Source organism: Homo sapiens, chromosome 5, assembly GCF_000001405.40.
Source record: "Homo sapiens chromosome 5, GRCh38.p14 Primary Assembly".
Taxonomy (NCBI): Eukaryota; Metazoa; Chordata; class Mammalia; order Primates; family Hominidae; genus Homo; species Homo sapiens.
This window is the reverse complement of record NC_000005.10, coordinates 172910839-172932853: the sequence shown is the minus strand read 5'-3', so window position 1 is coordinate 172932853 and position 22015 is coordinate 172910839. Positions and strand designations below refer to the sequence as shown.

Sequence of the window (22015 nt, the reverse complement as noted above, 5' to 3'; positions counted from 1 at the left end):
ACTCGGACCAGATGCAGGGCTGTTTGAGACCTGCAACCCCAGGACCTTTGTAGGACAGAGACTACCTGCTCTTTGTCAAACGCATCACACCCTATCTCCTGGTTAGATCTGTTCTCCTTGACTCTGAGACTGCCACATGGCAGGGACTGGGCTTTTCAATTTTACCCAGGGACAGCGCCTGGCCCAAGCTAACCCCCAGGAAAGGCCTCCAGAAAGGAATCAGAAGAAAGTGCGTCGGTGCAGCCGCCTGTCATCTCTGCTCTCCGTCAGCAGAGGGCGCCGCCGCACACAGCTCGGCCCAGCCACCGCCCGCGCACCTTGTTGGCCACCGTGTACTGGTAGGAGTACCGCTGCTTGCCACTCTTGTCCTCATAAACCGTGGGCACAATCTTCAGGATGTAGTCGTGGGAGGCCAGGGCTGCGGGAAGGACACAGCAGAATGAAGCAGGGGGACGGGCACTGCCCGCTGACAGCTCTATGTCATTTCAATCCTAAGCCTAAATTCCCTGGGCACGGCAGGGGGCTCATTCCCCAGTTTTACCACCAACCAACTGCTCTTCATCTTCTCCCCTTGGATACCGGGAATTGGGAGACTCTATCCATCAGGATCTTTCCTCCTGCACTGTGCACATCATTAAAATTCTGGAAACAACCCAAATGTCCATCAATAGAGCAACCATGAAAGAGTGAGTGTTGGCCAGGCGTGGTGGCTCACGCCTGTAATCCCAGCACTTTGGGAGGCCGAGGTGGGTGGATCATCTGCAGTCAGGAGTTCGAGACCAGCCTGCCCAAGATGGTGAAACCCCGTCTCTACTAAAAATTCAAAAATTAGCCAGGCGTGGTGGCAGGTGCCTGTAATCCCAGCTACTCAGGAGGCTGAGGCAGGAGAATCGCTTGAACCTGGGAGGCGGAGGTTGCAGTGAGCTAAGGTCATGCCACTGCACTCCAGCCTGGGCGATAGAGCAAGACTCTGTCTCAAAAAAAAAAAAAAAAAAAGTGTGGGTGCTAGGAGCAGCTATTCTCCAACAGGGAAAAGAACCAAGTCATGGGACAGGATACACATGTGTCCATGGATTGGGGGAGGAGGAGACACTCTGTATCCATGTAAATATATAGGAGAATTATCTGGAAAGATGCCCAAGGAACCACGGGCAGCTTTAGCTTCTGGGGAGGAAGGCAGGATTTGAGAAAGATCCCATTTCATTGTACATCCTCTGACATTGTCTGAATAGTTTTACTTTTAAAACAAACTAGGTTTCAGTATTAAAAAGAAAAGAGCCTATCAACCAGAAAAACTGCACCAATGAAGCACTGATGAACTGAGAATGGGGAAAGAAATCAACGGCAGATCAGTTCTTCCTGGATGGGGGAGCTGCTGAAGGCAGGGATGGAGCCTTACTCAACTCTGTGTCCCCAGAGCCCCGTGCAGGGCCTGGTACCAAGTGGACCGTGGCAAATGCTTACTGAATGAATGAACGGATGGAAGGATGATTGGACAGGGGCATGAATGAAAGCACAGATGAATCAGCTGCTGATAAGCGTGAGGTAACTGGAATCCAATGCTGGGCTGATAGAATGCTGGCCCAGAGCTGCCAAATATCACTCAGGAAAGGTATGAACTCTCCTGGGCCTTCTGGGATGCTTACAGGAAGCTCATGGGCCTTCCACAATCTCGGGTCACGGACTACAGAGCTAAAATAACACAGAAATTTAGGCCTGTGGGTTCTAAGCCTGGTCGCAGAGTCGAGTCAGTCCTCTTCTGTAAGAAGGCTGGGAATGCAGACAGCATTCACTGCCCTGACACTCCCTCCCTGCCCCTTCCTGCCAAAGCCATATCTCAGTAAGCAAAGGAAGTGCTTCTTGAATTGTTTTGAGTAGGTTCCTCTGAAAACCCGAGAAAAGTCCTGCAGCCGCAGAGCCCAGTCCATGAAGACTCCAACATCCCTCTGTTCAACCCTGTAATGGTTCTCAGATGTCAGAAGCAGTCGAATCATTTGGAATAAAAAGACACCTGGACCTCTTTCCAGGAGCATCCCGCCAAATGGGTCAAGGGTGGAGCTCAGAATTTGCATTTTTAAAACAAGAGCCCAAGACCACGCTTGATAGTGGTGTCCAAACGCCCATTGCCCTAGGTTAAAAACTTGAAGGAATGAAAAAGTGAATGCCTTATCAAAATCACCCCTGTAATATTTCTTGTTAAAATTTGTACAAGGCCGGATGTGGTGGCTCACGCCTGTAATCCCAGCACTTAGGGAGGCCGAGGTGGGAGGATCACTTGAGGTGAGGAGTTCAAGACCAACCTGGCCAACATGGTGAAACCCCATCTCTACTAAAAATACAAAAATTAGCCAAGCCTGGTGGCACACACCTGTAGTCCCGGCTACTAGGGAGGCTGAGGCAGGAGAATCGCTTGAACCCGGGAGGTGGAGGTTGCAGTGAGCTGCCACTGCACTCCAGCCTGGGCAACAGAGCGAGACTCCATCTCAAAAAAAAAAAAATTGTACAAAACACAGGTGATCACCAAGGACAAAACAAAAAATCACCATAAATTCACCATCCTCAGAAAACTATGGTTCACAGTCTCACATATAAACTGCCAGACATGTTTATACATATATTTGTATTTTCCTAAAATAGGACCATACCGTATCTTTTTTTTTTTTTTTGAAACGGAGTTTCACTCTGTCACCCAGGCTGGAGTGCAGTGGCACGATCTCGGCTCACTGCAACCTCCACCCTCTGGGTTCAAGTGATTCTCCTTCCTCAGCCTCCTGAGTAGCTGGGACTACAGGCGCCTGCCACCACGCCTGGCTAATTTTTTGTATTTTTAGTAGAGATGGGGGTTTCACCATCTTGGCCAGGCTGGTCTTGAACTCCTGACCTCGTGATCCACCCGACTTGGCCTCCCAAAGTGCTGGGATTACAGGCGTTAGCCACCGCGCCCAGCCATCTTTTTCTAAGAACTGAACATCATGATCAACTTTTCAGGTCTAAGACACAGAACATAAGCTCTGCAGAGTTTGTTTTATTCATCTCTCTATCCCCAGAACCTAGCCCAATGCCCAGCATATAGTAGGTGCTCAATAAATCTTTGCTGCCTGACTGCCAGTAAGGTCCTGACACACCTCGCTCATCTTGGGCAGTTACCATGCTCAGTCAACCCCCTATGGCTGGACACTGACGTGGTTCCTCATTTTCAATTTTATAAACAATGACCTAATGAACATTATTTTCCTAGATTTTTGTACACTCTCTTAATTATTTCCTTAGCTTACTCTCCTATGAGTACAATTGATGACTCAAAGGCAATGACCATTTTTAAGGCCTTTGATACAATTTGCCAAATGCCCACTGGAGACACTGCAGTTAATTACACCCATGTGGATTCCTTGTGAGCTGACCATTCCTAGAGACTGCTGGCTCCAACCTGGTCTAGGCCAGCCCACATTCCCTTCAAGCTCACTCCTCCTCCCCTACCCGCAAAATCTTCTTACAGAAAAATTCAAACCTAAAACATAGGGAATTGTATAATGGACTCCCACGTACCCATTTCCCAACTTCAGCAATTACCAGCGTATGGCCAATCTTGTTTCATCCCTATCCCGCCACTGGAGTGGGGCCCAGAATCTGCATTCTTAAAACCAGCAGCCCATATATATGTATGTGTGTGTATACTTATATACACACACACACACACACATATATATATATGACAGCCCATATTATGTGTATACATATACATGACAAGCTGGTTTCATTCCAGTTATATCATTCAGGACCAGTTAAACAATTCAGTACCACAATACAAGATACAATTTGATATAGGAAAGTTTCTCCTTAGATTCTGCCCTAGGGGATCTCGTTCCTGAAGTTAGCTGCTGACGATAATGAAGAGAACGGCCAACATTTATTGAGCACTCACAATGTGGCAGGCCGTGTACTAAACTCTGTACACGCATCTCATTAATCCTCATAGCAAGGCTTAAGGTGGAGAGGATTCTTCCCACTTTACACATGCAGAAACTGAGGCTTAGCAGAGTTAAATGACTTTCCCAAGACCACAGGGCTGGGAAAGAGTGGAGGGGGACACTGGAGGCCGAGGTCCTCATGACCGCACTCCACCACCATCTGGCAGGAGCTCTTCCATAGTGGCCTCCAGGCCTCTTATCATCGATCATATACCTACTATACCCTGGGTACAGGGCTGGGTCCTGGGGACAAAGCAGTGGGCAAGGCAGAGTGCCATGTTATAGCTGGCGCAACAGCCAAGGGCAGCAGATGACTGGGAGAACAAGGTGATTTCAGAGAGTGGTCTATGCTAGGAAGAAAAAACAGGTTTGTCCTTAGGAGTGAGGGTTACTTTAGATAGGGTGACCAGTGAGGGCTTCTTGGAGACGGTGGCGTTTGAACTGAGACCTTAATGCCAAGAAACAACCCCCATAGCAAGACCTGGGCACAGAGGGACCTACAAAGGCAACGGCCCAGTGCCAGGGACTGAGCTTGGGAGCTGAGGAAATAAAAGCCAGCCCTTCCCCAGCTGTCCATTGCTTGATCTCATGCTTTTTTCTCTCCACTTGAGCCAGCCTGAGATAGCTTTCGCCACTAGCCCTGGAGAAGGCAAGGTTTTCTGTCCACACCCTCTCTCTGCTTGCACACTCTGGGCCTTCTTAGCTTGATCCTCTTTCCTGTCCAGCAGCTGAGGGTCCATCGTAGCTGCAGACATTTGTGGACGGCCGACGTCGGATGACATGTTACCATGACACAAAACGACAATGACCACGGCACCACACCAAGAATCATCTACCTCTATTACAACCAGACATTTGCACTCAAATAAGGAGGTGCTGCCGTATACTTATCCGTTGCTGGAGGCAGCATGAATGGGAACCAGACACAGCTGGAAAGCAATCGGGTAACAGAGCGCCAACCCTGTACATATCAGAGGCATTATTGCCACAGTGAAACACAGGAAACGACAGACACTTTCGGTGAGAAGACAATGACTTAGAAAAGCAGAGCAGAGTGGGGACAGATCACCTGAGGTCAGGAGTTCAAGACCAGCCTGGCCAACGTGGTGAAACCCTGTCTCAACTAAAAATACAGAAAATTAGCTGGGCATTGTGGCAGGCACCTGTAATCCCAGCTGCTCGGGAGACTGAGACAGGAGAATTGCTTGAACCCGGGAGGCTGAGGTTGCAGTGAGCCGAGACTGTGCCACTGCACTCCAGCCTGGGTGACACAGTAAGACTCCGTCTCAAAAAAAAAAAAAAAAAAGCACAGCAGAGCTGCAAGATGGACAACTGTGCTCCCATTACAACTGGAAAGTAAGAAAATCGTGGCTATGTAATAAGGTCAAGTACAAAAAGCAGACGGTAAACTGCAATCCATGCCTTGGAAAAAAAGAAAAGTGAGTTCTGCTTATGGACAAGGACTCACAGGGACACAGAAAAATGAGGTTCGATTTGTCGGGGGGGCAGGTCACAGAGGGATGTTTTCTTTGCCTTGGATCCCTGACAATGGGAGAGCAAACGCATTTCAGGAAATAATAAGAAAAGATGTGGGTTAAAAGGTGAGCTCAGGTGAGGAAATAAGAAAAATCCAGGTACCCTGTGCAGCAGTGGGTCTGCAGGTCTGCTTGAGCACACAGGCCTCCCGGGCCCATTCTGTGCACGTGTCTGGGGCCATGTGAGCTCATGTGTGTTGGTGTGCACGAAAGGTATGCGTGCTCTCCTGTCTGCGTGTGGAGATGTGCGGTTCTCTTTGATCTGGGCCAAGGTGCCAGGGAGCTAAGGAGGGCGAGGACTCTAGGAGGAGCCACTATCGATGGGAGGAGTCTGAGCAGGAGGAGAGTGAGGTGTGGGGGAGGCAGCCATGTGGTCACAGCTGACTGGGCCACCCACAGACCTGTTCTCACGGTGCGACCTGGAGGCAGAACAGATCCTGGTTCTGCCATAGCTCCCTGTGGGATCTTAGGTAATTAGTTCAACTAAGGATGATGATGTGGCTGTGATGAGAGCAACAATAATGGTAATAGCTGGTATCCACTGCGTGCGTGCGTCTGCTGTGCCCCGGGACAAGCCTTCTTCCTTCTCCATCAGGGTCTGGGTCTGGACGGGGCTGGGTCCACCTTCCCACTGGTTAGCTGTGGGAATGGAGTGTGAGCAGCAGCCTCCCTGCCTTGGAGTGGGTGCTGGACAGGCACCCCCACCTCTCTGCCCTCCCCCTCCCTGCCTGCTGTACTGGGCATCTTGGAGCAGAAGGCTGTTCCCAGCAGGGATACATACGGTTGGAGGTGAGTCTGTCTGCTCCCCCGAGAGCATTGAAAGCTCCGTGGATGTTCTGGACCTGTGGAAAAATGCAGTGAGGGGATGGTCCCCAGGACACCTCCACCTCCAGGCCTGGCCCTGGTTGTGGGGGATGGCCAGGTACCACCTGGTCTAGGAACCCTACCAATGTGTAAAAGGGGGCTCCAGCGGATTTGTGGGGAGCAAGAGGCAGCAGGGGCCTGGCACATAGTAGGCACAAGCTTGTTTCCCATCTCTAGCCCCTACTATGTGCTGCTCCATCCTGGCCCCTTCATATAATTTCATTTCATGCCCCTAATGATGTATTATTGGGCCCATTTTACAGAAGAGCAAATCAAGGCTTGGAAAGACACCAAAACTTGCCCGGCTGGTAAGTGGCTAAGCTAAACTCTGAAATCAGGTCTGTCTGACACTAAGCTGGACTCTTTCCATGAAGTCACACAGAAAATTCAAGTGAACATGGATTCTGGGTCCCAGAAAGTTTCTCCTGAGATCCCAGGGTCCTCTGAAAGGCCCATAGAGGAGTCCAGGCAGGGATGCCCCAGAGCTGTGGGCCCCCCATCATGTCTGCTGCAGAGAACGTATAGCAGATGTGAAGAAAACCCTCCTCCGGGCAGTGGGGTGGGCTGCTGTAGAGTAGGGCTGAAAACCACATCTCACCTTTTCTCTGAGGACAATGGGAAACCAGGTTGGCCTCAAGGAACATCTAAAGAAGGACAAGGCATACCTGGTAAATGGAGCATGCTACCATGGGCATGGTTAACAGGGGTTATCGAGCTAGACACCCTGGAGGCCTTCCTGGAGGAAATGACATTGACACCAAGATCTGGAGGAAAGTGGGAAGTTAAACTGGCAAGCAGCATGTACAAAGGCTTAAGTATGGAGACAGGCCCACGTGGCCCCCAGGAGGAAGGAGAGTGAGGTGTTTGAATAGAAGGAAGGAGGAGACATCGGAGAGGTACGTGGGGACATGATTCTGTGGCCACTCCAGGAGCAGTGGGCAGCAGCGGGGTGGCATAATCCCTGATCCTGGTCTCAGGCGGCTGATGTTTACTGAGCACTTAACACACCTGCATGTTCTCAACAAGCAATTCCTCAACAACTGGAAGGAACTGCAATTTCTCAACAAGGAAAAGGAAGTTTGTCTATTTGCTGTCTTGAGACTGACCGTGTGAAGGCTTCATTTCTAACCCATGAGAACGGTGGTTACAGAGACAAGAAGGCTAGAATGTTCTCTTCCATTGTCATGTGACATGGCTTTATCTCACATTTATTTGTACCATTTATTTTTATTTTTATTTTTTCTTTTTTTGGGAGGAGTCTTACTCTTTCTCCCAGGCTGGAGTGCAGTGGCATGATACCAGCTCACTGCAATCTCCACCTCCCAGGTTCAAGTGATTCTCCTGCCTCAGCCTCCTGAGTAGCTGGGATCACAGGTGCCTGCCACCACGCCCGGCTAATTTTTGTATTTTTAGTAGAGACAGAGTTTCACCATGTTGGCAAGGCTGGTCTCAAACTTCTGACCTCAAGCAGTTCGCCCGCTTCAGCCTCCCAAAGTGCTGGGATTACAGGAGTGAGCCACCGCACCTGGCCTGTACCATTATTTGATCAACATCTGTCTTCCCCCCTAGACTGGAAGCTCCAGGTGGGCAGGGACCATGTTTGTCCTCACCAAGGTATGCAAGGCCTGGACACGGTAGGTACTTTGTAAATATTTGTTGACTAGATGGATGGACAGAAAATGAATGGATGGATGGGCCCTAAGCTAAGTTCTGTACATTTTTTTAAAAAAATCAGATTTCCACCCCACTAATGACTAAACTTGGGACTGTAGTTTCTGTGTCCTTCTGTTTTGCCCCTGCACGTGGCAATGCGAGACCGCTGCTCCTCTCCCCTCCACCTGCCTCGGTCTGGGCCCTTCCCTCACCTCCCTGCCTATAGTCTTGCCTCCTGGGTCCATCTTCCTCATTGCAGATGGGTGCTCTGAGTCACCAACCAGACCTTCAGTCTCCACCTTCCTCAGTCTACCACGGGTCTCTCGCACCCCACACACCCCACCTGCCGGCTCCCATTTCAGGCAAGTGCTCTGGGCCCTCTCAGCTGCCAAGCGAGCCCTTGTGCCCTGGACCATCTCGGCACAGAACATGCCGTGTCACATACGCTTACTGATCCATTTTTCTGAAAGTAACCTTGAGGGTCTTTCACATGAAAACCACCAGCTGGGCGCTCTAGGAGAGGGGTGATGTTTGAGACGCCCCCTGCCTAGGACCCATTTCCCTGTTCTGTTCCTGGTGAAACCCTTCTTACCCTTCCAGGCTTGGCTTAGATGTCACCTTAACGGTAACTCTTCCTAGTGCCCAGAGAGGGCAGAGGGCACTGGGTGACAGAGCCCCTGAAGGCCCACCCCCGGCCATGCCATCTCGAGTGTCCCCTGCTCACCTGTAGCGTGTCCCCAAAGGAGAGCTTGTGGATGACATGCGTCATGTCTGGGTTCTGTGGCTGGGCTGTGGCACTGTGTGTGGACACGTGGAAGTTGCCGGGGACCTGGGGGAGAAATGTGAGTTTCAGGAGTTTGGTTGACTTCTCCAGGGGGCGGAACATTGGGGCCTCACCCTGTGTGATCCAGGGAGGACACTGGAATCAGGCAGATCTGGGTTTGGATCCTGCTTGTATCATTTTCAACTGTGCAAAGGAGTCACCCCATCTCTCTGGGCCTCAGGCTCCTCATCTGCAGAATGGGGGCACTACCATAGCTTCCGAGGGGGCTGCCAGGACTATCTGGTGAGAGGGTGCATGTGAAGTGCCCATCTGGGCGACGGGCACAAAGCCAGGACTCATGGCAGCTGCTCCCCCTCCAGCTCTGTGGATTCTGGGCGGCTGACCCCACAGTCAGCTGGGGGATGACCTTTGAGCTTGCAGACTAATGGGGATTCCTCAGACTCCAAACCCCTATCATTTCCTACCCAAGTTTGCCCCAGTGCCCTAGACGGGGGATCCCTGATGGACAGACTGTGGTAGCCTCATCTCTTCCCTGGGTCTCAAGCCCTCGCAGAGCCAAGCCAGCAAGAGGTGCTGGATGAGTATTTACAGAACAAAGGATGCTGGTGACAACCATGTGGCAGGAGCCACTGCAGCTTCTCCTTGTTTCAGCACGAAGTCCCTCCTCCTCCCCCTCCTCCCCCTCCTCCTCCCAGATGCTTAGACTAGAACCCTTAGTATGATCCTGGAACCCTCCTCCTCCTCCCAGATGCTCAGACTAGAACCCTTGGTATGATCCTGGAACCCTCCTCCCTCCTCCCAGATGCTCAGACTAGAACCCTTGGTATGATCCTGGAACCCTCCTCCTCCTCCTCCTCCCAGATGCTCAGACTAGAACCCTTGGTATGATCCTGGAACCCTCCTCCTCCTCCTCCTCCCAGATGCTCAGACTAGAACCCTTGGTATGATCCTGGAACCCTCCTCCTCCTCCTCCTCCTAGATGCTCAGACTAGAACCCTTGGTATGATCCTGGAACCCCCCTTTCTCACTCCCGACGTCCCATCCATCAGCTGAAACCCTGTTAGCTCCACCTTCCAAACACACCTGGCGCCTGACCTCTTCTCTGCTGCCCTGGTCCAAGGTCGTCTCTTCATGGACAACAATGGCAGGCTCCTCCCTGGGCTCCCAGCTTCCATGTTCCCCACAGCCTGGGCCTTTTCCCAATAATGACTGTTAAGATCTTTTTAAACCCTACATCAGATCTCATCACTCCTCTGCCCAGAACCCTCCACGGCTTCTATTCTCTCAGAGTCCAGGTCCATGTCCTCGTGGTGGCCCACAGGCCACATCTGGCCGCTGGCCAAGCATCGTGTCCCCACCGCTTGGCCTCCTGCTGCTGTGTCCTCTGCTGCTTCCTGTCTGGTCTCCTGCCGTGCCGGGAACAGCATCCAGTGTGGCCCCATTTTAGGCCTTTGTGCCTGCACCCCTTCCTGGGACCCTCTTCCACATGGCCCTCCCTCGGACCCTCAGGGCCCAACAGAGAGGCCCTCCACGTCCACCTGTGCAAAAGAGCACCCTGGCCCCCATTCCCCATCCCCTTACCTGCTACAGCCTCTGGGATCACCTGCCATCTCATACCCATCCTGTTCTCGTCTGCCTCCTCCCATTAGCATGTCCACGCCCTGCTGTGCTCCCCAGACTCCGACACATAGCAGGTGCTCAATAGACACTTTTTGAATGAATGAATGACTAAACAAACAACACTGAATCCTTTGACTTTGTCATCTGATAATTCCCATTTTACAGAAAAGAAAATGGAGGCTCAGAGCAGTGAAGAAACTTGCTAAGGTCACATGTCGAGAGCTGCAGTCTCAGCTCACGTCTGTTGGACGCACTGCTCCCTCCTCTGATGCCTGGATGCCATCTACCTCCGCAGCCTGGGCTGATGGCCACATGGCGCCAGTCCTTCAGGAGATGCCGGAACTGGGGAGATGAGCAGACAAGAATCTGGCCTTGGCCAAGCCCCTGTGACACAGACTTGGAACAGACAATGAGACTCTGTGGGATCCACCCTGGCCCAGAGGAATTTGCAGACCATGGGGGTTACAGGGAAGGCCCCCGGCTCAATTGAGGGTGCAGGCTGTATTCAGGGAGGGCTTCCCAGGGGGAAGGACATCCTGTGTTAAGGCTCTGAAGATGAGTCTGCATTACTCAGGAAGAGAGCGAAAGGCATCTGGGCAGAGGGAACAGCATGAACAGGTGCAGAGGACAGAAACTTCCCAGCATGTGGGCTGTCTAAGGAACTAAGAGTCTGGTATTATTGAACTCCAAATGAGACGGAGGTGGCGGTGCTGGCAGCAGCAGGAAACAAAGAGGCACAAGGGAGGAGTTGGGGCTGTTTATCAAAGGTCCCCAGATGCCACACTGAAAAACTCGGGGGTTACCTTATTCCAGCCCAATGAAGAAGACTGTGCGAGCTGTGTCCGAGGAGGGAATATAGCTTATCGTGCAGCAGCCCATCAAAGTCTGATTTTGTAAGCATGTCTGTTTCAAACACAAAGTTGGGGACTTCCTGCAGGAATATTCCTACTTCAGCAGGGCCCGAGCTTGTGGCTGACAGGGGAGGCATCAAGCTGACAGCCTGTAGCCTCGGCCTCAGCAAACTCGCAGTGGAGCGAGCTGCAGGCTACAGTGGAGAAGGGACACTTGCTGGGTCAGGAGTGGAGCAGAAACAAAGGCGTGGCAAGATCTCCCTCGAGGGACAGCATCGCCTGCTTCAGGGACCCAATAACCCATAGTAGAGCGGTTGCTCTGAGTTCTACACTTGGCCCCAAGCCCAGCCCCACTTCCTAGCTGGGGAGCCTTAGGCGAGGTCAGTAACCACTCCATGCCTCAGTTTCTCCATCAGCGAAATGGGCGTAAAGCCAGAAGATTACTGGGAGGATTCATTGAGGTGATGCATACAAAGCAGCCCGCAGCTGGCCTCAGATCGGGTTTGTAGGGTGAACATGTTTGTCATCGGAGCCAACCAAGAAGGGCCCTCCCGGAAGAGGGAACACTCACAGGCAGGGCGTGAGGAAAAGCCCACTGTGGGTTTTAACATTTATGCCTCATTTTCACCGATAAAAATAATGCCTGGGTACATTTTCATGATAAAACAGTCATGAGACACAGTCAGACTAAAGACCCTGTTGCTGACCACCCCTGGGAGTAAGAAACCCACAGCCATAAGGCGTGTGTCCTCCCAGAGGTTTTCTACGCAGTGACACAGGGCCTTCCGCAGATCGGGCCATGGCAGAGTTCAGAACTGGGATTGGGGCCTGGGCCGCGTGCTCCGGGAGTGAAGTGAGTCAAGAAGGCTGTCCCCTCAGCACCTGCCACCCCTGCCGGGCCGTGCGAGGCTGTGACTCAGGAACCCACTCCCCCTCCACACCAAATCCATCACAGGTGGCTGACTCATGCCAGCACATGCTGGGCTGAAGAAAGAAACAGCAACGCTTTTAGAGCCTGTGACTTAGGAACCTACGTCAGTGTCTCTGATGGATTTTAAAAACATATAGCTGGAGCCAGGCCCCATACCCCTCACCCCATCCTGTCCTCCTCCTGCGGGGCTGGCTGATGAAACGAGGTCACCGTGGGGTCTCTGGTGAGGCTGCCGCTGCTGCTCAAAACACGCAAACTCTGACATCTGGCTGCTGGTCAACTTCCTGGGGGTCGGATAAGGAGGCCATGGGACAAGTCTCAGCCTGATGCTGGGAGAGAGGTGCGGGGGCTGGCTGCTGACCTTGCCATCACAGCACATGGACCCTGGTGGCTTCTTTGAGCACCTCTTGATGGGCGGTTCCTCAAAGGGAAAGTGGCTGGGCTGGGGTGGGGGACGGTCTCTACTCCCTCCAGGAGTATGGGGCAGAGGGTGCCCTAGGCTGTGACCTGGGGCACACAGACACAGCTGGTCATGACATGTGTAACCAAGATGTTGGGAGAAGCAGCCACAGGCAGTGAGCTCAGAGGGCCAGGGCCCTGGTGCTAGGCTGCCTGTGTTAAAATCCTGGCTGCGTGACCTTGACCAGGTCACTTAACCTCCTGTGCCTCAGTTTCCTCCAGGCTACTGTGAGGACTAAAGGAGCTAATATGTGGAAAGGGCTGGGTAAGAACCTAGTACGTGGCAGCCATAACGCGGGTCTAAGAAAGGCTGGTGTGAGCCTTTCAAAGACTCCCTGGCACTCCCCTGACCAGAGAAGGCCCATTTCTTGGACGCCCTCCATGTGCCTTCCACAGGCGCACTTGTAAGGTGGGTGCCAGCTGATGAGGTCATGGAAACTTTGCACTGACGGGAGATGAGGCAGGCCAGGATGCTTGTCCAGTCTCTACTGCAGAGTTTGTTCATGTTTCACAGCCTGTGAGGTATTATTATCCCCATTCTACAGATGAGGAACCTGAGGCTCAGAGAAGCTAAACTGCCCAGAGTCATTCAACCAGTGACCATGGTAGCCGGGATCCTTGACCACAGGTCTGTCTGACCCCAAAGGACAAGTTCACCCAGAGCTGGCTGGGGGCTCCAGCACAGCCCATTCTAAGGGGAGCAGACTGCAGTCTTGGGCGTGTTTGCCAAGAGGTGGGAGGGCTTGGTGGCAGGGCTGTCTCGTGGGTTGTCACTCCAGGTGCTTGAATAAGCACGATCCCTTCTTGGTCACCATCTGGGGTACATATATTTTTTCAGCCCAGGTGGTTGCATCTCCCCGGGGGCGGGGGGCCCACAGTGAGGAGGTGTGCGTGTACGTCTGTTCATCTGTGCATCTTCATCTTCAGTCTTCAGACAGGGCTTCCTTTGTAACCTCAGGGGTCTCCTCCTTCATTCTCCACCACAGCACCCCGTCATTCTCTTCACGGCTGCTTTATCAAAATCACATATTTCCTGTTTACCTGAGCACTGGCTGTCCCCCCGTTATAGAACATGGGCCACCAACGGCGGGGAGCATGGCTGTTTCTCTCCCATTGCAGCCCAGCGCCAAGCACAGAGCCAGGCGTGAGGTGGATGCTCAATAGCACGAAAGCCTGAGTGGAGTGGTCAAAGGGAGAGGCCAAGTCAAGGAGGAGGCACAGGCAGCAGCCGCAGCGTGATGAGGGGCGTGGTGGGGAGTGAATGTGGGTGGGCAGGGAAGGGGAGGGAGGACTTCCCCTGAGGGACCCACATCAGCTGAGGCCTGTGGGTGAGTAGTGGTTCCCCAAGAGGATGAGGTGGGGACAGAGGGAGGGTATGGAGGCCCAGCAGAGGTCCCCCACCAACCCCCCACCTGCCTGCCGGCACTGTGAACCTCTCCAAGGCCTTAAACCCCCAACTGTGGCCTGCGTCTGGCTCCCATTGCTTCGTAAGGACGTGGCTCCTGCAGCGGCCCCTTCTCTCCTCATCATCAGCGTTTTCTGGAGCACTCTCTGCAGCACTTAGATCACTGTCCATTCCAAGCCTGCCTTCCTGAGCCTGGTAGCGCCAGCCCTGCTCTTTGATATCTATACATATGTTCTTTTCCAGGCTGCAGGTTCCGCCCAGCCTTTGCTTCCTCCTTCCTGTTCGACTGCCCCTTCTTGCACCTTTTGTTACCCCCGCATCTCCCCACCTCGAAGTGACTGGGCGGGGCGCCAGAACTCAGTCCTCAAACTGCAATTCTCTCCAGACCTTAGGTTCTTAAGGCTTTTGGTGCCACGGATGATCCTTTGCCAGTCTAATGATACCTACGTTTTAAATGCTTAAAATGTTTTAATGCGTAAAATGCATAGGATTACAAAGTAAAGAGATATTTAAATAGTAATTAAAATATTTAAAAATCCACATTTGAATATGCTGCTTTACTGATGCATCAAATAAGATGACCTAGTGGTGGGTCTAATAATTACTGTAATTTTTATTGACTGATTGATTAAGGGTTTCACTCTGTCACCCAGGCTGGAGTGTGGTGGTGCGATCTCAGCTCACTGAAGCCTCTACCTCCCTGGGCTCAGAAGACCCTCCCACCTCGGCCTCCCGAGTAGCTGTGACTACAAGCATAGGCTTGGTTAACTTTTGTATTTTTTTGTAGGTACAGGGTTTTGACATGTTGACCAGGCTGGTCTTGAACTCCTCAAGTGATCCACCCACTTTGGCCTCCCAAAGTGCTGGGATTACAGGTGTGAGCCACTGCACCTGGCCAATCACCGTAATTTTAAAACAGTGGTGCATATAAACAGTCTCTGGAAATTATCTGCAACAACTGTAACGTGCTATAAATACCGGCAATTTCTGTTGTTGAGGAGGTCCCAGGCACTGCTAATACTACTGTGGTTTGTGGCCTACATTCATCGCAGATGGAAATGCTAAACTTTAGATCGAGTTTAGCAAAAATAAAGATGTCAATTTTTCCCCCATCCAACTTCATAGATCTCTTGCATTCAATCCGCTCTTCTTGGGGGTGTCTGTGGACCCCAGGTTTAGAACACGGATCTACAGCCTCTCCGTAGGTAATCTTGCTTAAACCAATGCTCCTCAAACTTCAGTGGCATCAGAATCTCTGAGGGGCGCTTGTTCTAGCACAGAGTCGGTGGGTCTTAGGGGGGCCTGAGAATCTGCATTCCTAACAATCTCCCAGGTGATGCTGATGCTGCTGGCCTGGAGGCTTAAGGAGCCCCCACTCTGAGGACCCATGACTTCCAACATCATCTATTCACTAATGACTCCCACCTCAACATCTGTGGTCCAGAACCCTCTCCTGAACTCTCCACACCTCCAACTTCCAATTTCACCTCTCCCTGTAGACACCTAATGGGAACCCCAAAGGAAACCAGAGTGGAATGACCAGTGCCCAGCCCTACCTACTTCCCACAGACTCCAGGCTTTTCTAAGCTTCCATGTCTAGAAACAGGACCACCCGGTTGTCAAGACAAAGACGTCAAAGGTTTCTTTGCTTCCACATGTGCCCTTACCCCCACATCCGATTCTTCACTGAGTCTTATTGATTCTACCTCCCTAATCCGACCACATCTCCCCAGCTCCACTGCCACAACCACTGCCTGCCACCCTCTCCAGCCCAGCCCCATCCTTTTTTTGTTTGTTTTGAGATGGAGTCTCACTCTGTCGCCCAGACTGGAGTGCAGTGGTACGATCTTGGCTCACTGCAAGCTCCACCTCCCGGGTTCATGCCATTCTCCCGCCTCAGCCTCCTGAGTAGCTGGGACTACAGGTGCCCGCAACCACGCCCGGCTAATTTTGTTTTTTTTTGTATTTTTAGTAGAGGCAGGGTTTCACCATGTTAGCCGGGATGGTCTCGATCTCCTGACCTCGTGATCCACCCACCTCGGCCTCCCAAAGTGCTGGGATTACAGGTTTGAGCCACCGCGCCCGGCCACCAGAGCCATCCTTCTAAGGGTGTGCGGTCCAGCAGAACTTTCCTCAGCGATGGAAGTGCTTTCTCTCTGCACTGTCTAACGCTGTGGCCCCTAGCCAGCACGTGGCTTTGAGCACTTGAAATGTGGTTGATGAGAATGAGTGACTGAATTGTACATTTAATTTGAATTAATTTAAATAGCCTTATGTGGCTGGTGGCAACCTATTGGATAGTCCAGTTCTAAGGCATAAATCTGATTACATTGCCTCCCTGTTCAAAACCCTCAAATGGCTTTCCATCACAACCACCATAAAATCCAAATTACGGGGCATGGCAAAGGTGCTGTGTGGCAGCTCATGGGCAGAGAGAGCCCCCAGTGAACCACGACCCCCAGCATCCCTGCCTCCTGGTATCTCCTCCTCCTGAGGGCCTGGGCTGGTGAGAGACTCCCTTTAACCCACAACATGCAGCAGATTTCTCCCAGCAACACTCGAAACCTTAAGAAAGCCTTGCAGCTTCTGCTTTAGCACTTAAGGGAGCCCTGAACTGTCACGTAAGAAGTCCACCCTGCTTGACAGATGACCAGGCCTGGCCTTCCAGCCGCCTGCCAGGGACTGTGGGAAGGGACAGCACACACCCTCTCTAAAGGGGAACACTGCCCATTGGTGCCAGGTCATTGTCATAGCGGGAACACGGACCCAGTGTAGTGAGAGCCTCTGACTTTTAAAAGCCAGAAATCTGGATTCCTGGTCTTTTCATACTGGTTCTGATGCAGTTAAATGCTATACTGGACAAACAAAATTTATCTTTGGGCTGGATGTGGCCAGTGACTTTGCAACCCCAGCTCAGGTGTCAGGGTCTGGAGGAAGGGCGTTCTGAGCAGAGGCTGCAGGAGGGACAAGGAGAAGCCAGGAGTGGCCAGTGGCTCAGTTTGGCTGGGGCTGGGAAGGGGAGTTGTGGGACATGCAGATAGCTGTGTGACCTCGGGCAAGACACTTAACCTCTCTGGGCCCCAGCATCCTAACCTGTCAAATGGTGCTGCCTCACAGCGTTGTTGAGAGGCTCCACTGTGACAGTACCGAGCTTCGAGGAAGGCCGGCACGTGCTGAGCAAAACCCTGCCAGCTGCCACCGGGTGCCTCGGCCCTCCCAAGGGCACTGCGTTCACCCACTTGACTTAGGATCTGAAGCTCCTGGTTCTGAGGACAAAACAACAGTGAACCTTGAATGGTCCTTCTGAGCGGACAAGGTACTTTCAAGCCCACCTCATCTCACTCCCCTTGGCTTTATTCCTCATCACTGCACTTAGCATCCCTGATGCTTTCTGGTTTGTAGACTGTCTCCCTCTACCAGAATGGGAGCCCCACCAGCCCAGGAACGCTGCCCCAGAGCCTATCACCGACCCTGGAACACAGAACGTGCCATTCAAAAATTTTTCTGAATGAATGAATCTGCATTAGCTCATTTAATCCCCACACAAACTTTGTGAAGTGGGTGGTATCGTGATACTATTATCGCCATCACACCCTCAGCCTAAGATGGGTCAAGTGACTTGTAGGGGCCAAGAAGGGGTAGAGCTGGGACTTGAACCCAGGGCTGGGGGCTGCAAATCCTCAGGTCTTCTCATCATTGTCCCCCTCACTGGAGAGAAGAGTAGCTCCTTCCTGAACCAGCCATCAGGGGCTTAAAACCCCAGGGAGCCTGGACCCCCATCCAGATTCTCAGCAGGAACGGCCAGGCAGCTGGACACGAACCCTCGCTTGCTGGGGGCTGTGTCAGGGTCAGGTCGAGTGAGTGCCTCCACAACCAGTTTCCAGGGAGCGGGGAGACAGCAGGAAAGGGGAGCAGGTAGAAAGGGCTGAGGCAGGGCTTCCATACCTTGTTGATGCTGAACTGCCCCTCGAAGCGGCAGCCTGCCCCATTGTTCAGCGGGATCTTCATGGAGTTGTCGATGTGGCCCACTTCGTGCCTGCCCATCTCATCCTGAATGTCAAGCCCAACCACTGCAGGAGCCAAAGGGAGACAACAGTCACAAACCCAGAGACGCGGGAGGATGGGGGCCAGCCTGTTCTCTCTGGGAGCCTTCATTCATCCATTGCAGGGGCAGGCCGGGCTGGGGACCTCCAGGAGCTCATGGTCTGGGGTCCAAAGACTACAGGGGACAGGACAATGACTCCGCTAAACGTGAGGCGAGGGGGGCAGTGCATAGTAGGGGTCCCGGGGCCACCCTGGGGTCTGCCATACTGGTCCTCTGAATCTGGGTCCTGCCTCAGGTACTTAACCTCTGGATGCCTCAGTTTCTTTCTCTGTAAGATGGGGGGCTGACCATAATTGAACCCTCCTTGAAAGATTATGGGGATCAAATAGTTCATAGATGTAGAAAATGCTTAGGGTCTGATGAACGCTAGGTGGAAAGTGCTTAATAAATGTTAGCTCTTGTATCTCAGATAGTCTTTGTATTTTTTTTTTTTTTTTTTTTTTTGAGACAGAGTCTTGCTCTCTTGCCCAGGCTGGTGTGCAATGGCATGCTCTCGACTCACTGCAACCTCCGCCTCCTGCATTCAAGCAATTCTCCTGCCTCAGCCTCCCAAGTAGCTGGGATTATAGGTGCCCGCCTATACAAAAAAATTTTTTTTGTATTTTTAGTAGAGACGGGGTTTCACCATGTTGGCCAGGCTGGTCTTGAACTTCTGACCTCAGGTGATCCACCTGCCTCAGCCTCCCAAAGTGCTGGGATTACAAGTGTAGGCCACCGTTCCTGGCCTTCAGAGAGTTTTTGGGTTTATGGGGTGAATAGGCTCAGGCCCCCCATCCATTCATCCATCATTCACTTATTCATTCATTCACACCTTCCTTTACCCATCGCCTATGCTACCAGCCCTATGATAAGCACCAGGAATGCACAAAGGGAAAAGATAGGCCCTGCCCTCTGTCACCTCACTGGGACTCAGATGGCTTCCCCATCTGTAAAATGGGCAGGCCAATGCCAACTGCATCCCCAGAGATGGTCCAAGTAGCCAGTGGTGAGATGATCCCTGTGAACTATGGAAATGTAGGAATTTCCCTGGCAGGAGCGCTAGAAAGGAGGTGCCATACAGAGGAAGAACAGCTGGAAGCAATTTTAAAGAGGGACAACCTTAAAAGGGAAAATTGGGAACAACTCTGTGTTCCTCGATGAGGACAGAGAAGTAAGTGAGGATCCAGCCATAGAAGGGAACGTGCTGGAGCCATTCGAAATGACCCTCACGGGTCCACAGGACATGGGAAATGCCAATGGTATAATGTGAAGTTTAGAGAAAACACAAGCAGGTCCGCTTTTCACTCAGCAGTTCCAATGTTGGCAGCCTGTCCTCTAGATCCACAATGTGTGTCCAGATGTGTGTGCAAAGCTGCTCAGGCAACCTTATCTGAAATAGTGGCAACTGGAAGCAATTCAACTGCTTATCACTGGAGCCAGTGGAACAGCCCTCTTCCCAGTGCCGTGCGGCAGGTACAAAGAATGGGCTAAATGCAGGTGCGTGGAGGAGGCTCAGAGCAGATCAGTGGCTGAGTTACTAGCGCTGAGACCTCGAGCAGGTTACCTAATCTCTGTGCCTCAGTTTCCTCTTCTATCACAGGCTTGTTGTGAGGGTTAAAGAAAAGTAAAACGACTGGGCACAGTGGCTCACGCCGGTAATCGCAGCACTTTGGGAGGCCAAGGTGGGCGGATAACTTGAGGCCAGCAGTTCGAGACCAGCCTGGCCAATATGGCGAACCCCATCTCTACTAAAACCACAAAACATTAGCTGGGCATGGTGGCAGGTGCCTGTAATCCCAGCTACTTGGGAGGCTGAGGCAGGACAATCGCTTGAACCTGGGAGGTGGAGGTTGCAGTGAGCTGAGATCATGCCACTGTACTCCAGCCTGGGCAACAGAGAAAAACTCTATCTCAAAAAAAAAAAGAAAGAAAGAAAGAAAAGAAAAGTAAAATAGCACTTACTACGTGCTAGACTCTCTTCTAAGTGCCTTTTATATAAGAACACACCTTCTTGGCTGGGCGCGGTGGCTCACGCCTGTAATCCCAGAACTTTGGGAGGCTGAGGCGGGTGGATCACAAGGTCAGGAGTTTGAGACCAACCTGGCCAAAGTAGTGAAACCCCATCTCTACTAAGAATACAAAAAATTAGCCGGGCACGGTGGCGGGCACCTGTAATCCCAGCTACTCAGGAGGCTGAGGCAGGAGAATGGCTTGAACCCGGGAGGCGGAGGTTGCAGTGAGCTAAGATCGCGCCATCGCACTCCAGCCTGGGTGACAGTGTGAGACTCTGTCTCAAAACAAAACAAAACACCATTTAAACACCCCTGTGGGGAAGATAATATTATCAGTCCCATTCTACATCTAGGGCAACTGAGGCACAGAGACCTCACCACTAGGAAACAGCAGAGCCTGGAATGAAATCCAGGTGGATTTGCTTCTGAGCCCCCACCCTTCAGCCATTCTGCTAAGATACCTCAAATCCCAGTGGATTTAATATAGCCAAAGGACGCAGGACAGGGCCTGGCCTGGAAGAATGGAATAAATGGCAGCTGTTATTATTTTACTCATATTATGAGTAATATGAGAACAGCTCCAAGACACTAGCTAGAAAAAAAAAAAAAAAGAAACTCCAGAAGGTTCCCATATGGTAGGGTCCCAATTAATTATGTAAAAAGAAAAAACAACAATAACAACAAAAACAACCCCAAACCCAATATATGTTCACAGACACGCACACACATGTAGGGGTAGGGAACGGGGGCCCCACCTGCTAGCAGAGGTGTCCTTTGGGGAAGATGGCATGCTGGGACAAGAAGGGGGACAGGGGAGGGGTACTTTTGCTTTTTAAAAAACATATTATTTTTGTATTTTTGAATGTATGTCTTAAGATTGAAATATAGTCTATTAGTTGTATAATGAAGAATATTATTTTTAAAAGCAGGATATGAGATCATACATGCAGTACGATCTCAGCTATGTTCAGAAACACAGAAAGGAAGGCCAGCTGGACAGAATGATGTCAAAATGTCACCAACACTGCTGTCGGGTGGCAGAGTTATGGGTGATCTCTTTTGCTTCCCTGTGTTTTCCAGAAGTACAATGATGAGCATGCGTTTTTTCCTATAATAAAAATGTGAAGTTCTTTTAAAGAAAAGCCAGAATGCTGGGCTCTAACAGGGGTGAGGGGGTTGGGGGTTCAGGTTATAGCCCCACAGATCCAGCAGGGCATGGCAGGGAATGGGGTGGAGGTTGCCTGGCCCCTCCTGGAACCACATCTCTTCCCTTTCCTACCACACTAGTCCCAGTCCTCTGGTCTGACTAAGAATTTCCTTGTTCCAGAGATACAGTCACTCCTGAATGAGAATCTGCCAGATGAATTATTTTTCTAAGTGAAAGAAAAAAAATAACAAAAAATAAGACCGACCTATTTCAACAGGTTCCCTGGCTTGGGGCCCAGCGAGGATTCAAAATTGTGACGTAAATCTCACCAAAAGCAATGACAGGGCTGAGACTCTTCCTATCTCTGGCCGGAGATGCACCCAGTGTTCTCTCAGCTGTGTCCTTTAACAGGAAGAGGGGGTGGGGAGAGAAGGGCCTGCAGCAGGCTCTGTGCCAGGCTGGGCAGAGGGACGGCTGGAACCCCAGTCCAGGAGAGGGCGCCCAGTCCACTCGCTGACAAGTCTAGGGACCATGGCATTAGATTCTCCCAAGAACCTCAGACAACAGACATTACTAAGCCCATTTTGCAGATGAGGAATCTGAGGCTCGGAGAGGTCACCCTAGCCAAGGTCACAGTTTTAGCCAGCAAAGGAGCCAGGATCTGACTCCAAATCAGACTTCAAATGAGTTTTGTTTTGTAGA

At 51.6% G+C, this 22015-nt stretch overlaps 1 protein-coding gene and 1 non-coding gene across 13 annotated transcripts in view, besides 5 other annotated features; both read right to left on the bottom strand.

Annotated features, from left to right (window-relative positions):
• ERGIC1 (endoplasmic reticulum-golgi intermediate compartment 1) overlaps positions 1-22015 on the bottom strand; it is a 118433-nt gene that overhangs the window by 19830 nt on the left and 76588 nt on the right. For 3 of the 12 annotated variants that reach the window (NM_001031711.3, XM_011534597.2, XM_047417411.1), the window contains 4 exons: positions 18016-18140; positions 8745-8849; positions 6285-6345; positions 318-418 (listed from right to left, as the gene is read on the bottom strand). In NM_001031711.3, the coding sequence (NP_001026881.1) occupies positions 318-418; positions 6285-6345; positions 8745-8849; positions 18016-18140 (392 nt within the window). Of the gene's footprint in view, positions 1-317; positions 419-6284; positions 6346-8744; positions 8850-10551; positions 13674-17163; positions 17337-18015; positions 18141-22015 lie in introns of those variants that run through there. The other 9 variants (XM_047417410.1, XM_047417406.1, XM_047417404.1 and 6 more) reach the window with 5 other exon arrangements.
• Positions 458-527: an enhancer, noted in NCBI's record as "active region_23649". NCBI's record gives its function as "activates an Ori minimal core promoter by ATAC-STARR-seq in GM12878 lymphoblastoid cells {active_cell/tissue: GM12878}" and the evidence as "EXISTENCE:reporter gene assay evidence [ECO:0000049][PMID:35858748]".
• Positions 1475-1544: a silencer, noted in NCBI's record as "silent region_16631". NCBI's record gives its function as "represses an Ori minimal core promoter by ATAC-STARR-seq in GM12878 lymphoblastoid cells {active_cell/tissue: GM12878}" and the evidence as "EXISTENCE:reporter gene assay evidence [ECO:0000049][PMID:35858748]".
• Positions 11994-12638: an enhancer, noted in NCBI's record as "H3K27ac-H3K4me1 hESC enhancer chr5:172347219-172347863 (GRCh37/hg19 assembly coordinates)". NCBI's record gives its function as "activates a minimal SCP1, AML or CMV promoter by ChIP-STARR-seq in primed H9 embryonic stem cells {active_cell/tissue: H9 hESC(primed)}" and the evidence as "EXISTENCE:reporter gene assay evidence [ECO:0000049][PMID:30033119]".
• Positions 13967-14468: an enhancer, noted in NCBI's record as "H3K4me1 hESC enhancer chr5:172345389-172345890 (GRCh37/hg19 assembly coordinates)". NCBI's record gives its function as "activates a minimal SCP1, AML or CMV promoter by ChIP-STARR-seq in primed H9 embryonic stem cells {active_cell/tissue: H9 hESC(primed)}" and the evidence as "EXISTENCE:reporter gene assay evidence [ECO:0000049][PMID:30033119]".
• Positions 17554-18054: an enhancer, noted in NCBI's record as "H3K4me1 hESC enhancer chr5:172341803-172342303 (GRCh37/hg19 assembly coordinates)". NCBI's record gives its function as "activates a minimal SCP1, AML or CMV promoter by ChIP-STARR-seq in primed H9 embryonic stem cells {active_cell/tissue: H9 hESC(primed)}" and the evidence as "EXISTENCE:reporter gene assay evidence [ECO:0000049][PMID:30033119]".
• On the bottom strand, positions 17696-17771 carry MIR10523 (microRNA 10523). The gene has a single exon (NR_162113.1). It is a non-coding gene; the product is annotated as a microRNA 10523 (primary transcript).